The sequence below is a fragment of the Homo sapiens genome, chromosome 7 (assembly GCF_000001405.40).
Source record: "Homo sapiens chromosome 7, GRCh38.p14 Primary Assembly".
NCBI lineage: Eukaryota > Metazoa > Chordata > Mammalia > Primates > Hominidae > Homo > Homo sapiens.
In genome coordinates, this window is record NC_000007.14 from 147,103,807 (window position 1) to 147,121,784 (window position 17,978).

The 17,978-nt window shown below is 35.8% G+C and overlaps 1 protein-coding gene across 2 annotated transcripts in view; it reads left to right on the top strand.

Moving 5' to 3' along the window:
- Positions 1-17,978, top strand: part of CNTNAP2 (contactin associated protein 2) — a 2,304,198-nt gene that overhangs the window by 987,006 nt on the left and 1,299,214 nt on the right. For both annotated transcript variants that reach the window (NM_014141.6, XM_017011950.3), the window contains exons 5-6: positions 4,341-4,544; positions 17,173-17,357. In NM_014141.6, coding sequence (NP_054860.1) covers positions 4,341-4,544; positions 17,173-17,357 — 389 coding nt within the window. The remainder of the gene's footprint in view (positions 1-4,340; positions 4,545-17,172; positions 17,358-17,978) is intronic.

The window sequence follows — 17,978 nt, forward strand, 5'->3', positions numbered from 1 at the left end:
CAAATATCAATAATGCAGTCTAGTCCTAAGAAAACGTCAGACAAATCCAAACTGAGAAAGATTCTACAAAGCACCTGGCTGGTGCTCTTCTAGAGGGTCAAGGTTATGAAAGACAAGGAAAGAATTGGAAACTGTTGCAGATTAGAAGTGACTAGGGAGGCATCATAACTAAATGCAATCTGAGATCCTGGATTGAATCCTAGAACAGCAACAAAAAAGTATTAGTGAAACCCTGGTGAAGTCCAAGTATAATCTGTATTTGAGTGAATGCCACTTAAGTTAGTATTTTCATTTTGACAAATGTGCCAGGTTATATAAAATGTTAATATTAGAGGAAGCTGGGTGAAACATATGAGAATTCTATCTTTCCAACTACCTTTTCAGCTTTTCTCTAAATCTAAAATTTTTCCAAAATAAAAAGTTTGTGAAAATAAAAACAAAACTTCCACCACAATTTTTATTGAAGAAGTTGGACATTTAACTAATGGTACATTTTTAGCTAATCAAAATCCTGTTTTAGAAAACAAAATTATGAAATAAGGTTTAAAAAATGTACAGTAACAAAAATCAAACACAAACTATATACAGTATTATCCATATGTGTATCTATGTACATACGTAAAGATTCTTTATATGCAATTTAAAATAATCACAAATAGTATATTATCATTGGTTATTTCAGTAAAAAATGAAATAATGCCTTTTAAATTTTTTTTCTTTAAACCTTTTTGTTTCTTTCGGATCCCCTATAAAAGTAACTGAAAACATTTGATGGGGAAACGGTATTAAAAGTAACTCTTGAATATTTATTTGTTGATATGCTATATTTACATACTTTTTAATTTTTTCAAATAAGTAGACTACAGTTTCAAATTATATATTCTTTTATAAGTGTCTTTTATTAAGATTAATAAAAAATTTTAATTAAACCATGCAATTTCCCTGTACTATAAATATTATATCACCCCAAACTCAAATTATTAGTGTACATTTTGGACCATGACTAACTGAAATGAAATTCTCCCTCTCTCTCTCCCACTGTCTTTATTCTTCTCCCTTCCTCCCTCATATATATATATATATATATATATATATATATATATATATATATGAATTATTCCATACCTTATATAGTTGGATAGATATTTAGGTAAATATGTAAAATGTAGGATATGCACCAGTTAAGTACCCATTAACACTGGTGATTTTTCGTGGTTGGGATTCACTCTCTACTTTCTATATTTCTGTATTGCTTAATTTCTTTTGATCAATAGACATAGTTTGTAATAAAATATATAGCAAAGATATCTTTTAAAATTAAAATATCAAATAAACTTAAAATTTTAATATTAAAATGTTTATATGGTAAACACTTCTTCAAATTATCTTATTCAAAGTTAGAAAGTGAAGACTAAGGAACAATAAAATGTTTTTGAAAAAGCGTTTTCTACCATGATGATTTGATGAATTGGGCATATTACCAGCTTGCTGAGCTTTTGTTAGGAACAAAATTGTGGAAACACTATGATTTTGCATTCATTTTTTGACTAGCCATTATTGTTCAGATTGCTTAAACAGTTCAACCATACATATTTAATCACCGCATCGAAAACTTAATTCTAGGGAGTGATAAGCAATCAGGATAATAGAAGAAAAAAGTGGCTTGTCCCCAAATAAGCACAGCGCATTATTAGATATCAAATGAAATTTTAATCTATTTTTGTAGGAAACAGAGCCAAACTGTGATGGATGTTCTTTACATTGTTGTAGAATATCCCAGACTTTTTAAAGAGTACATGGTATGTGTTAAAGTGTAAATATCATAGATTACTTCTAGAAATTTTATAATTTTCAAGCCAGCTCTGAGCTTACATCCACAAGAGGATGTGCTGATATTTTGGAAGCATTTAACCCATTCATAGAATAACAACTTTTAAATTTTGTTTTAGATAGATGGATAGATAGGTGGGAAAATATGTTGAAACTTTTTCTTTTTCTTTGTAGGGAATCTAGGTTACAGAGAATTTTGTTTCCCAGCTGACCCTGACAACTTACCATTTGTAAAGTGAGACTTGGTCTACATGAATAGCTGTCCTTCCTGTTTTTATTAATATCTTAGGATTGTCTGAAAAAAATAAGCCATCTTCATCTTTTCTGTCACATTTTCTCATTGCTCTAAAAGTAAGACAGGAATGCATTAACATTTGCGTAAATCATTACTCTGTACCTAGAACTAAATGTGTTTTGATTTAGAAGAAAGTATAGAGGAGGTGATTCTTGTTCCCTGAGTAAAAGCTCAGGGAACGTTTACTTCCTGAAAGATGAATTAGAAATATTTTATGTCAATTAAAATATGCTAAAGGTGTATAAAACAAGATGTGTCTATTATTTAACTGTCACTGATAGGAAATTGACTGCAAAACTACTGTCTAGAGTTCAGAATTTACTGTCATCTGTTTTTCTTTTATTCACTTTTCAAGATAAAAAGTATCATCAACTGCTGGATTATACGTTCTCCTTTATTTCTCATTGCACATGAAAAAGATATTGCCATTGAAATTCAGCTGTGACAGTATATAGGATTAAGCTGAAGTTTAATTGGCTTTGCAGTGTTAGCAGAAGCCAAAATTAAACGATTGATTTTTTCCCTCATATTAAAATAAACCTCTGTGATTCACAGTCTCAGAGAACAGAATTCTGTTGATTAAGAAAGTCTTTTTATGGGCAATAAAGAGCTGATTATAAGAATTAAAATTTAAAGTTTAAGGTCATATTTTTTCTGAATGTTTTATAATATAACATTGTACAAACTTATTTAAAAGCATAAATATTTGAGATACTAGCATAGATATTTTCAAAGTATGTGAAAGCCATCAATGATTTGAAAGGCATGCTTAGATTTCATTTTATTCGAAGTAACTGTATGCACAACAATTCACTTTATAGAATTAAGTAAACTCAACACAAAAAAGGAGTGGATGTGGTTCTGGCAGCCCTGCATCTCTACTGTGGCCCCCAAAGGAATTTATTTGGTGGTATGCTCCACTTACAAGGCAAACCAAAGTGTTCCTCGTGGTGATTGGAGTAAACAAGTGCCAGAGAACTAGGACATGAAATGAGAAAATATTTCTCTGACAGGCTTTAAACTGGCTATTATTTTTCTCCAATGTCTCCCTCTGGAGTTCTTTAGCCAGACCTTACCCAAAACCTAGAGGCTAGCTTTGTCCAGACTTGTAATTCTAAAGTTATTAGAGCTGTTCCGTTTGACTAGGCTTTCTATGATTTAAAAATGAAAAGCTTACAGAAATAGTCTATTGAAAAGATTTTTAACAGTGAAGATTTGATCATGGTAACGAAGCTTCTATTTGAACTCAATATTTGATTTGAATGGTTACATTGCATTTTGAATCATTCTATGAATCGAGAATGCATTGACCAATAGTGCCTAATAAATAATATCATCTCATTTTTATTTCTGGTGTGAAATAAATAGTAGTTATCAAATGAATCCTCACAGTCACATATTTCTGATCATATTTCCCATTTTTTAAAAAGTTTACATACTTTCCTTATTTTAATCTATTCCCCTGAAACTAAAATTAGAGCTGCTGTAGTCATACGCTGGATATTTGTTCTTTAAACTCATATATGGATAAGTGAAGATATCTGTGTCCAATGTAGTGAAAAAACAAACAATGGTGCCCAATTCTCCATTCCAAATGCAAGGAGGTAATAAGAAATTTGAGACACACTGCTTCCTAAGAATAAATGGTAAGAAGTTTCTGAAAATTCGATTGGTTGTAAACTCTGAATACTACAACAAGGTTTACTAAAATTGTGGTGAAATATAAAAACCATTTAAAAAAAAGAGAATAGCATAAAAGATTACATTCCAAGTGCCTTCATTCTTACATCAAAGAAAACAACTTTTTGAATAAAATATATACTTAAAATCATGAAGAATTATCATTAAGGAATCAAACATTTAAGTCTCATAATCTGTTTGAGATTTAAAAATTTTACGATTTTGGTCTAAACTCTAGATTTCTAAGTTAAGATTTGAAGCATATAACCCATTGAATTTATATTACTAATTTTGTAATTAAAGTAAAATGTTCAACTGATAGAGCTTTTATGAGCATTTTTATCAATACTCTCCATAAAACCTCCTTTAAAACAAACACAGTAAATCAAAAGAAGGAATAGAAGAAAAACAGAGGACTGTCAATTTCTCAAGAAAAACACTTACTTAATTCTCATTTATTCTTTGCAGACACCTGTTGGAAGTGGATGGTAACATACATGGCTGAACTAATATGTTATTTTTTTTTTTGTTTTAGGGGCTGATGTTATCAACTTTGATGGCCATGTTGTATTACCATATAGATTCAGAAACAAGAAGATGAAAACACTGAAAGATGTCATTGCCTTGAACTTTAAGACGTCTGAAAGTGAAGGAGTAATCCTGCACGGAGAAGGACAGCAAGGAGATTACATTACCTTGGAACTGAAAAAAGCCAAGCTGGTCCTCAGTTTAAACTTAGGTGTGTTCTGACTGTCAGTTCTATTCTTTCCGTTATGGATGTTCCCATTAGGAATATGTTCATGTTGCTCAATTCTTTAAAATGTAAATTATAAAAAGAGCTCATGTTATATTTCAATTCATACTTAATCTATAACAGTAGGTATATAATGAAACACCTAGTCATTCAAAAAATATTTATTAAACACCTCTACTATACAAGTTACTATACTAGTCTTTGGCCTACAGCAAGGAACAAATAGACAAGATCCTTAAGCTCATTAAGTTCATGACCTAACGGAGGAATCAGACCATATAGCATTTATTATTCTTATTTTAAAACAACTAAGCAAAAATGAATGTCTTCAAATAATATATATTATGAACCAGTTGAACAGATTAATATGATAAAGGGACTAGGTTAATACGTCCTGTTCAAAGGCAACAGGGCTAATATTAGAATGTGTGGTGAAGAAAGACTGCTCTGGGGAGAAAATATTTAAGATGAGATCAGAGTGATGAAAAGGAATTAGCCATGAAAACATGAGAGAAAGAAGATTACATAGGAAGAGAACATGGAAGACCAAAAGCACGCTCAAGAAGCAGGAAGGATGCCGCCGTGCATAAATGCTGTGAGTTATTAAGACAAAAGATGAAGTCCAAGAGGTGGAAATTGCCCAAATCCTGTGGGATCCTGCAGGGCATTACAAATTGTTTAGATATTATTTTTAAGAATAGGAAGCTGTTGGAAGTCATTAAACTGTATGGCTTTATCATCTTATTTTTTATCAAGCGCATTGAGACTTCTGTAAGAAGAATTACTTGTGTAGATATGAGAGTCGCAGCAGAACTTCTGCATAGTTTGGGTGAGAGATAGTACTGCTTGTATGAGGTGGTTATCAGGGGAGATGCAGAGAAATATGTCAATTAAGGAAATAATTTTAGTGGTACATTCAGCATGACTTATGATGGGTTGGATATAGCCTAAGAAGAAAAGAGTAGAAATAAAGAATGAGCCCTAGGATTTGGGCTTGAGCACCAAATGGACATTAGTGCCATTTTCAGAAATAGAGAAGACTTTAGGAGGAATTCTAGAGATCAGTTTGGACATGGTTAATTTGAGCTGCTTATGAAACATCTAAGTAGAACTTTCGATTATGGAAGTTGATATATGAGACTGAGAGAGGAAGACTAAAATGGAGACTAAGTAATTGTGAATATTGAGTAGGAGAAAATGAAGAAAGTGTAGTATCACAGAAATCAAGGAAACAAAAGAGGTTGTCAACTGTTGAATTCATCTAAATGTCATGTAAGATGAAGACAGAGAGGCAAATATTGGGCTTAACAACATGGAGGTTACTGTTAATTTCTACTCTGTGGAATAGAAAAGACAAATTTTGTAGGTAAAAAAGAGAATGAAAGGCGTTAAGTAAATATTTTGACTAACTAGAGAGGAAGAACAGTTAGTTAACTGTTAACTAGAAAGAAAGAACATAGAGAAATGAAATGTTGGCTGCTGAAAGATCTGAACTCAAATTACTGTTTTATGTGGGGTTGTTGTTATTTGTATTTATTTATTTATTTATTTATTTATTTATTTATTTACTTATTTTTGAGTCAGAGTCTCACCCTGTCACCCAGGCTGGAGTGCAGTGGCATGATCTCTGCTCACTGCCACCTCTGCCTCCCAGGCTTAAGTGATGCTCCTGCCTCAGCCTCCCGAGTAGCTGGGATTACAGGCACCTACCACCATGCCCGGTTAATTTTTGTATTTTTAGTAGAGATGGGGTTTCACCATGTTGGCCAGGTTGTTTTCAAACTCCTGACCTCAAATGATCCACCTGCCTTGGCCTTCCAAAGTGCTGGGATTACAAGCCACCGTGCCTGGCCCTGTTGTTGTTTTTAAATGGACAAGACCAATGTATGTTTGTATGTTGATGATGTAGCTAGGATTTACTTAAAGCTAAAGTGAAGATCTGCAAGATTGGTACTGGCATTCAAAATTACAGTTTAGGCAAAGTAATGGTACCTTTTTCTTTTTTTTTTTTAAATTTAAGTTCATGAATGCATGGGCAGGATGTACAACTTTGTTACATAGGTAAACGTGTGCCGTGACGGTTGTCTGCACAGATCATCCCATCACCTAAGTATTAAGGCTGGCATCCATTAGCTATTATTCTTGATGCTTTCCTTCCTCACCACCTAAACCTCCGACAGACCCCATGTGTGTTGTTCCTCTCTATGTGTCCATATGTTCTCATCATTCAGTTCTCACTTATAAGTGAGAACATGTGGTATTTGGCTTTCTGTTCCTGCATTAGTTTGCTGAGGACAATAGCCTCCAGCTCCATCCATGTGCCCGCAAAGGACAGGATCTCATTCCTTTTTATGGCTGCGTAGTATTCCATGGTGTATATGTACCACATTTTCTTTACCCAGTCTATCATTGATGGGCATTTAGGTTGATTTCATGTCTTTGCTATTGTGAATAGTGCTGCAATGAACATATGTATGCATGTATCTTTATAATAGAATAAATTATATTCCTTTGGGTTTATATCCAGTAATGGGATTGCTGGGTCAAATGGTATTTCTGCCTCTAGGTCTTTGAGGAATCTTCACGCTGTCTTCCACAATGATTGAACTAATTTCCCCTCCCACCAACAGCATAAAAGCTTTCCTTTTTCTCTGCAGCATCACCAGCATCTGTTGTTTTTTGACTTTTTAATAATAGTCATTTTGACTGGTGTGAGATGGTATCTCATTGCAGTTTTGATTTGCATTTCTCTAATGATCAGTGATGTAGAGATTTTTTTTCATGTTTGTTGGCCACATGTATATCTTCTTTTGAGAATTGTCTGTTCATGTCCTTTGCCCACATTTTTATGAGGTTGTTTTTGTCTTGTAAATTTAAGTTCCTTGCAGAAGCTAGATATTAGACCTTTGTCAGATGGATAGATTGCAAAATTTGTTTCTCATTCTGTAGGTTGTCTGTTCACTCTGATGACAGTTTCTTTTACTGTGCAGAAGCACTTCAGTTTAATTATATCCCATCTGTCAATTTTTGCTTTTGTTGCAATTGCTTTTGGCATCTCCATCATGAAATCTTTGCCTGTGCCCATGTCCTGAATGGAATTGCCTATATAGTCTTCTAAGGTTTTTAGAGTTTTGGGTTTTAAATTAAAGTCTTTAATTCATTTTGAATTGATTTTTTTGTACAGTGTAAGGAAGGGGTCCAGTTTCAATTTTCTGCATATGACTAGCCAGTTCTTCCAGCACCATTTATTCAATGAGGAATCCTTTTCCCATTGCTTGTTTTTGTCAGGTTTGTTGAAGATCAGGTGGTTATAGGTGTATGGTCTTATTTCTGAGTTCTATACTGTGTCCCATTGGTCTATGTGTCTGTTCATATCAGTACCATGCTGTTTTGGTTACAGTAGCCTTGCAGTAGAGTTTGAAGTTGGGTAGTGTGATGCCTCCAGCTTTGTTCTTTTTTCTTAGGATTGTGTTGGCCATTGGACTCTTTTTTGGTTCCATGTGAATTTTTAAATAGTTTTTTTAAATTCTCTGAAGAATGGTCAATGGTAGTTTAATGGGAATAGTATTGAATCTATGTATTGCTTTGGGCAATATGGCCATTTTCATGATGTTGATTATTCCTATTCTCCCTATCCATGAGCATGGAATGTTTTTCCATTTATTTGTGTCATCTCTGATTTCTTTGAGCAGAGGTTTGTAGTTCTTCTTAATAAGGTCCTTCACTTCCCTTGTTAGCTATATCTTAGGTATTTTATATTATTTTTGGCAATTGTGAATGAGAGTTCATTCATAATTTGACTCTCTGATTGCTTATTGTTGGCTTATAGGAATGCTTGTGATTTTTATACATTGATTTTGTATCCTGAGACTTTGCTGAAGTTGCTTATCGGCTTAAGAATCTTTTGGGCTGAGATGATGAGGTTTCCTAGTTACAGGATCATGACATCTGCAAAGATAATTTGACTTCCTTTCTTCCTATTTGAATACCCTTTGTTTCTTTCTCTTGTCTGATTGCCCTGGCCAGGATAGCCAATACTGTGTTGAATAGTCACGGTGAGAGAAGGCATCCTTGTCTTGTGACAGTTTTCTGTGGAATGCTTCCAGCTTTTCCCCATTCAGTATGATATTGGCTGTGGGTTTGTCATAGATGGCTCTTACTATTTTGAGGTATGTTCCTTCAAAACCTAGTTAACTGAGAGTTTTTAATATAAAGGGATGTTGAATTTTATTCAAGAACTTTTCTGCATCTACTGAGATAATCATGTGGTTTTTGTCTTTAGATCTCTTTGTGTGATTAATCACATTTATTGATATGTGTATGTTGAACCAACCCTACATCTCAGGGATGAGGCCTACATGATTACAGTGAATACCCATTTTGATGTGCTGCTGGATTCAGTTTGCCATAACTTTGTTAAGCATTTTTGCATAGATGTTCATCAAAAATATTTGCCCGAAGTTTTGTTGTTGTTGTTGTTGTTGTTGTTGTTGTATATCCACCAGGTTTTGGTACCAGGATGATGCTGGCCTCATAGAGTGTGCTAGAGAGGAGTCCTTCCTTTTCAGGTTTTTGGAATAGTTTGAATAGGCATGTTATCAGCTCTTCTTTGGACCTCTGGTAGAATGCAGCTGTGAGTCTGTCTCGTCCTGGGCTTTTTCTGGTTGGTAGGCTATTTATTACTGCCTCAATTTCAGAAGTCATTATTGGTCTGGCTTAGGGAATCAATTTCTTTCTGGTTCAGTCTTGGGAGGGTGCATGTGTCCAGAAATTTTCCATTTCTTCTAGATTTTCTAGTTTATGTGCATAGAGGTGTTCATAGCATTCTCTGATGGTACAGAGAATACTATAAAAATAATAGAGAAATACAAACATATTTCTATAGGGAAATACAAATGTATTTCTGTGAGGTCAGTGGTGATGCCCCCCTTACGATTTCTGGTTGTGTTTATTTGAATCGTCTCTCTTTTCTTCTTTATTATTCTAGCTAATGGACTATTTTATTAATTATTTCAAAAAACCAGTGTATTAAATTCTCACACTGGTATAAAGAACTGCCCAAGACTGAGTGATTTATTAAAAAAAAAAAAGAGGTTTACTTGACTTACAGTTTCACATGGCTGGAGAGGCCTCAGGAAACTTACAATCAGGGCCGAAAGGGAAGCAAACACATCCTTCTTCACATGGCGGCAGGAGAGAGAAGTGCAGAGTGAAGTCGGGGAAAGCCCTTTATAAAAACACCAGATGTCATGAGAACTCAATCACTATGATGAGAACAGCAAGGGGAACCACCCCCATGACGTCCCTCCCCCAACACATGGGGATTATAATTTGGATTACAATTCAAGATACGATTTGGGTGGGAACACAGAGCCAGATCATATCAACCAGCTCCAGGATTTATTGATTTTTTGAAGGATTTTTTTGTGTGTGCCTCTCTATTCCACTTCAGTTTAGCTCTGATCTTGGTTATTTCTTGTCTTCTACTAGCTTTGGGGTTTGTTTGCTCTTGGTTCTCTAATTCTTTTAGTTGTGATGCTAGGTTGCTAACTTGAGGTACTTCTAGCTGTTTGATGTGGGCATTTAGGGCCACAAATTTCCCTCTTAACACTGCTTTAACTGCATCCCAGAGATTCTGGTACTTTGTATCTTTGTTCTCATTAGTTTCAAAGAAATTCTTGATTTCTGCCTTAATTTCATTATTTACCCAAGAGTCACTAAGGAGCAGGTTGTTCACTTTCCATGTAGTTGTGTCGTTTTGAGAGAATTTCTTAATCATAAGTTCTAATTTGATTGTGCTGTGGTCTGAGAGACTGTTATGATTTCAGTCCTTTTTCATTTGCTGTTGAGTGTTTTACTTTCAATTATGTCATCAATTTTAGAGTAAGTGCTGTGTAGTGATGAGAAGTATGCATATTCTGTTGTCTTGGGATGGAGAATTCTGTATATATCTATCAGGTCTACTTGATCCAAAGCTGAGTTCAAGTCCTGGATGTCTTTGTTAATTTTCTGCCTCGATGATCTGTCTAATATTGTCAGTGGGGTATTAAAGTCTCCCACTATTATTGTGTAGGAATCTAAGTCTCTTTGAAGATCTCTAAGAACTTGCTTTATGAATCTGGGTGCTCCTGTACTGGGTGCATATATATTTATGATAGTTAACTCTTCTTGTTGAATTTAGCCTTTTACCATTAGGTAATGCCCTTCTTTGTGTTTTTTGATCTTTGGTGGGTTAAAGTCTGTTTTGTCAGAAACTACAATTGCAACCCCTGCTTTTTTCTGTTTTCCATTTGCTTGGTACATTTTTCTCCATCCTTTATTTTGAGCTTATGTGTGTGTTTGCATGTGAGATGGGTCTCTTGAAGACAGCATACCATTGGGTCTTGGCTCTTTATCCAGCTTGCCAGTCTGTGTCTTTTAACTGGGGCATTTAACCCATTTACATTTAAGGTTAGTATTGTTATGTGTGGATTTGATCCTGTCATCATGCTGCTAGCTGGTTAGTTTGCAGGCTTGTTTATGTGATTGCTTCATAGTGTCACTGGTCTGTGTATTTCGATGTGTTTCTGTAGTGGCTGGTAATGGTTTTTCCTTTTCATATTTAGTGCTTTCTTCAGGAGCTCTTGCAAGGCAGGACTGGTGGTAATAAATTCTCTCAGCATTTGCTTGTCTGAAAAGGATCTTATTTCTCCTTCACTTATGAAGCTTAGTTTGACTGGATGTGAAGTTCTGGGTTGGAAATTCTTTTCTTTAAGAATATTGATTATTGGCCCCCAATCTCTTCTAGCTTGTAGAGTTTCTGCTGAGAGGGCTGCTTTTAGTCAGATGGGCTTCCCTTAGTGGGTGACCTGGCCTTTCAGCCTTTCTCTCTGGCTGCCTTTAACATTTTTTCTTTAATTTCAACCTCAGAGAATCTGATGATTATGTGTCTTGGGGATGATCATCTTGTGGAGTATCTTACTGAGGTTCTCTGCATTTCCTGAATTTGAATGTTGGCCTTCTTCCTAGGTTGGGGAAGTTCTCCTGGATCATATCCTGAAGTATGTTTTCCAACTTGATTCCATTCTCCCGGTCTCTCCCAGGTACACCAATCAGTTGAAGGTTTAGTTTCTTTACATAATTCCATATTTCTCAGAGGTTTTGTTAATTCCTTTTCATTCTTTTTTCTCTATTCTTGTCTGCCTGTCTTATTTCAGAAAGTTAGGCTTCAAGCTCTGAGATTTCTTCCTCTGCTTGGTCTGCCTGCTATTAATACTTGTGATTGCATTGTAGTAGTGTGTTTTTCAGCTCTAACATGTCAATTATATTCCTCTCTAACCTGGGTGTTCTGGCTATCAGATCCCATATTGTATTACCATGATTCTTAGCTTCTCTGCATGGGGTACAACATGCTCCTTTACTTCAGTGAAGTTTGTTATTACCCACCTTCTGCAGCCTACTTCTGTCATTTCAGCCATCTCAGCCTTAGCCCAGTTCTGAGCGCTTGCTGGAGAGGTGTTGCAATCATTTGGAGGAAAAGGGGCACTCGGCTTTTTGATTTTTCAGAATTTTTTGCATTGATTGCTTCTCATCTTTGGTGTCTTATCTACCTTCAATGTTTGAAGTTGCTGATTTGGAGATGGAGTTTTGTGGGGTTTGTTGTTGTTGTTGTTTTGTGTTTGTTTTTCTTTTAATAGCCCTGTAGAAGTCTGGCCACTCATCCATAGGGCTATTGTGGTTTGCTGGGAGTCCACTCGAGACACTAGTTGCCTCTGTTTTTCCTGTACCTGGAAGTATAATATCAGCAATGAAGCCTGCAGGACAGCAAAGTTGGCAGCCTGCTGCTTCCTCTGGAAGTTCCATGCTAGGGATAACTGACCTATTGCTGGCCCAAGTGTGCCTGGAGGAAGTGGTTGGAGACTACTGTTGGGAGGTCTCATTCAGTCAGGAGGAATGAGGTCAGGGATTGACTTAAAAAAGCAGTCTGGCTGCTTTTTGATAGAGCCACTGTGCTGTGTTGGAGATTTCTTCAGCCCCTAATCGGTTTGGGCTCTCCAAGGCCCACAGGCTGGACTAGCTGAGAAGCCTGAATGTCCAAGTTGGTGACCTGCCCCACCCTTCAGGCACTTTGTCCCGTGGAGAACACAGGCAGGGGTGGCCAGAGGCCCCAGCTGGGACAACCTGCCCTGGGAAGAAGAATGGATGGGGGGATGGGGCAGTTAAAGAAACAGTCTGGTCACACCTTGACAAAACAGCTATGTTGTGGTGAGGAACTGCCTCTGCCCCCATCAGCTTGGACTCTCCAAAGCCCACAGGCTGTGGAATGACTGAATTGTCCAAACAACCCAGGTGGTGACCCTCCCCTCCCTTGGTCACTCCATCCCAGGGATAGAAAATAGCTCTGTCATGCAGGCAGGTGTGGTTGGAGGGCCCCAGCTGGGAGGTCCCACCCAGTAGGAAGAATGGATCAGGGCTCTGCTTAAAGAAGCAGTCTGGCCATGATCTGGCAAAGCCACTGTGTTACGCTGCTGGGGAAACCTTCCTCCTTGTCTGGACTCTTTGGACTCTCCAAAGCCCACAGGCTGCAAAGGCCCAGTCGACCAAATAGCAGAGATGGTGTCTGTACCTCTCCTCGAGGCTCCATCTGGTCTCAAGAAGGCTTTGTCCTGATGACAGTGGCTGGCTGAAATTCCAAGCCAGTGGGTCTTTTCTTGTAGGGTGCCATGGAAATGGGGCCCACAGAACAATGCCATTCGGCTCCCTGGATTCTGCCCCCTTCCTAGGAGTATGTGCAGACCTCCCGCCTTGCCTGAGTTGCAGACACCTTTGTTGGAAATCCCAGGGTGGAGTTTGTAAAGCTCCACCCTGTCTCTGTGCATGATTGAGCAGTTGTTCTGCCAAGACTCCACACAGCTCTGTGTGTCAGACCCAAGGCTCTGGTGTCATGGGCTCACAAGATCTCCTAATCTGTGAGTTGCAGAAATCCATGGGAGAAGCATGGTTTCTTGGGGTCACATAGTCACTCACTGCTTCCCTTGGCAGGGGTTGGGGGTTCCCTTGGCTCCACGTCGCTCCTGGGTAGGCTGTAGCCCCATCCTGCTTTCCTTCATTCTCCTTGTGTGAAGTTGTTTCCCTAATCCGTCTCCATGTGAGAACCTGAATATTTCATTTGAAAAGGCTGTATTTACTGATCCCTTCCATTCCTCTCCTTGAGCACTGCAGACTTCAGCTGCTTCTCATCAGCCATCTTGGCCCCTGTCTCACCTGTTTCTCTTGATTGGCTAAAAATTCTAGGCTATTTGATTTATTTGGCAATTACCAATTTGAGTGGTCCAAACATTCCTGAATATGACTTGTATCTCATATATTAACTTTTATTACTTTGAAATTCAGTATTATACTAAAAATTGCAACTTCACTTAGGCTATTTTTGTAGGTAATGATACATTACCTTAAAGATGTACCCTTGATTATAAAACTTTTCACATTAAAGATCTGATCTGATAGACACAATAGCTTCTATAACAAAGAAGAAAAGTCACACAAAATTCGCCATCACTTAGTTACATAAAATATTATTTTTTACATTAAAATAAAAGTAACATTAAAATGCATGCAAAACCTGGGAAATACAAATGTCAAATATACTGGTTTAATATAAATCATGAATAAGAAATTATACCACTGCATAATAATACCAAGACATTAGGAGAAAATATAGGCAAATGATATACAAGATAACTCATAAAAGAAAAAAATATTATATAAACACCCAATGCTTAATTTTTATCAAGTAAGTAAATACATTTTAAAGTGATACTTTCAGTGTTGGTATTTGACAAAATGGATCCTTTGTATTGTTCTGCAAGTCAGAAAATACTTTCAGGAAAATAGCTAGACAGTATGTCTTCGGACACTTGAAATCTCTTACAATACAGTATTTTGGTCCAAAAATCATAAGGCAAAAAAAGAAATGACCACTAGGATTTAAGTCCAAATATGTAATTTGCAACATTAATTACAATGTCAAAAATTGGGAAAAAATTAAACACATAGAAATATGTTGATAGCATTTAAAATGTGCTAACTTTTAATTGTATGGGGAAATATATAATATTAAGTAAAACTTGTAGGATACAAAATGTATCAATCTATCGATCTAATTAAATATATGCAGTCATGTGTCACTTTAAAATGGGGATGCGTTCTGAGAAATTCTGTGTGAGTTTCAACACTTTGTAAATACAAGAGTCTGCAAAGACAAACGTAAATTGTATAGCCTATTACACACCTAGGCTATATGGTAGAGCTTATTGCTCCTAGTGTAGAAATCTGTATAGCATGTTACTGTACTGAATACTTTAGGCAACTGTGTAAAAAACTGGTAAGTATTTGCATATCAAAAAATAGAATGGATACAGTGAAAATACAGTATTAAATTTGATGTTAACACCATTATATATGAAGCCCATCGTTGAAAGAAATGTCATTATGTGGTGCATGACTGTTTGTGGAAAACATATGAAAGAAAATAGACCAAATTATTTTTAGAGGTGGAAATATTTTTGCATTACATTTCACTTGTTTCTTCATAATATTCTCTGCTTCTAATAACGAACGTGTATTCATTGTGCTACCAGGGGAAAATAGCCTGAAATTATTTTTAAAACAAGACCCAATAGAGGAAAAGAAGGAAGAGCAGGGGGAGAGTAACCAGAAACAAAAGACATTTTTGTTTTTTGTACACATAAAAACATTTTATGTGTACTTCCATAAAATATGCACACATGCACACGTGTGCACACACACACACTGCAGTTGAATTATATCTAAAGATGTTTATTTTTTCAAACTTTTCATTTTTTATCCCAAATGAAACATGTAGAGTAACCTTTTAAAATCAACTGTGGCTTATAGCAGTGTGACATTACTGTTTTCAAAGAAGTAACTGACTTTGTGACCTTACCAAAAAAAGTTTATTAGCTTTACATTGGAAAGCAGTTTACTGATGGAGTTTTACTGACTGACTGGAATTTACAACAGCCAGGGAGAAATATCCACTCAAATATCTACTGCCATTCTTTAATGCAGTTACCTAAATATCAGACGTGTCTACCTGCTGCTCAGTCTACTAGTGTAAATATTTAAATAAAACTCAGTGTGACCTTTTCACTTAGTTCTGAATTTTCTTCCTCTCTCTTCCTCTTCCTCCTCTTGTCCCTCTCCTTTTCCTTGTCTCATTTTACGCATACACACTGATTTACCATCACACATCAACATTTGATTTCATCACCATAAAAGAAGAAAATATGTTCTAGGAAGATAATAGAAAATGTAAGGTATGGGGGCATTAGCATACAAAGGGAGAAAGGAAGGAAGGAAGGAAGGAGGGAGTGTGGGAGGGGAAAGAAAGGGAGAGGAAAGAAAGAAAGAAGGAAAGGAAGGAAGGAAGGAAGGAAGAATTTAGTGTGACAGTCAATTGTTTATCTCTTATTTCCATTATGCTATTTATTCTGAAACCCTATTATATTTTTATAGTGATTAATTTTGCCTGACCATAAAAAGCAATTCTTGAATAGACAACATAGATGAAACAAACTATGTAAACTTTATCCAGGGATGACCTTAATAAATATGTTAGATTCTAACAATCTTTTACTTTTATTTATAGTTTTGTTGCTATGGAGATCTTATTTCAGAACTAAAAGCTACATATATAATTCTGAATGTTATCATTTTAATTAAAAGATAACAAGTAAATTTTCTATGCCATTAACAATTGCATATTGTTCTCTTTACAACAATGTCTTTTGGAGTCAATGAAAATTAAAAATGGTCTTGCTATGTGGTCTTAATAATAATTATAACAGTCATAAAAGATTAACAGGTAACAGTTATGTTCACTATATGCCAGAAAGTGTATTAAATTCTTTGCCTGTACTAACTCATTGAATCCTCATGCAACCTTACAAAGCAGGTACTATTATCTTCCCTATTGTATATATGAGAAAATGGAGACCAAGCATTCTCAACTTGTCCTGGAACCCAAGCTAAAAGTGGAGCCAGCATCAGAACCCAGAAGGCTTCTGTAAAAGCCCACGTGACACTGACTTTATAACAAACCTACCAAAATTTAGCAGAATTCATTGCACAGTCATAAAACACTCATTTTCCCCCTTTTTAAAAAAGCACTTTTTTCCATGTTTAATAACTTGTACGTACTTTGAACATAAAGTATTTTTTTACTATTACATTTTATTTTATTTATTTATTTATTTTTCTTTTTTTTCATTTATTATTATTATACTTTAAGTTTTAGGGTACATGTGCACAATGTGCTGGTTAGTTACATATGTATACATGTGACATGCTGGTGCGCTGCACCCACTAACTCGTCATCTAGCATTAGGTATATCTCCCAATGCTATCCCTCCCCCCTACCCCCAACCCACAACAGTCCCCAGAACATAAAGTATTTTTAAGTGTCGTTACTTACTGGTATCCCAGGTTAACTCGAATGGATAGAGCTTTGATGGAATGTCAGCCTCTAGGTGCTGTAAATGAAAGATCTTCTGCTTCACAGAGTTGGCCATAGCATCATTGCATTGTTTCTTTTTCACTTCTGTGTACGCAGGAAGCAACCAGCTTGGCCCCATATATGGCCACACATCAGTGATGACAGGAAGTTTGCTGGATGACCACCACTGGCACTCTGTGGTCATTGAGCGCCAGGGGCGGAGCATTAACCTCACTCTGGACAGGAGCATGCAGCACTTCCGTACCAATGGAGAGTTTGACTACCTGGACTTGGACTATGAGGTACATGTGATGACGTAGAAATTGTAATAAAATGTCAAGCAATTGTGTCACTCTCCTACTGTATTGTATTATTGTTAATTATATTACTACTTACACCTTTTTTATTTTCTTCTCTAAACAAGACACTGACAATTTTAAAAACCTGATTAATTCGTTTCATTTTATTTCTAAATTTATAATCATGAGTACTTGAACTATTATAAAAATCTTAGTACCAATGTAATAATTTGAAGAGAGGAACCATGCTATCCAGGCCATTTAATAAATTCAGAATAAATTTAATTTGTAATCCTTTCATTGGTAGTTAATCATGTTATCAATTCTTCTTGAGAATGTGCAGTACATTATATGCAGAGGGTTGTCTAATATTTATTATAAAGTATTGAATAAGAAATCTTAGTTTCTGGTTTATATTAAGTCATTTAGAAACTCATGACTGTAGATGGGTCTTTTGACAAGCTCTGTTTTCTCAGAATCAATATCACAAAAGCAATAAAGTAAAATACAGACTATTTTAAAAAGATTGTTCATGAACAAAAAGACATATATTACCTTCTCAATAATTAGAGATTAAAAATAATCAATGATCACGTTTATATAAATAAAAATATATTCTCATAG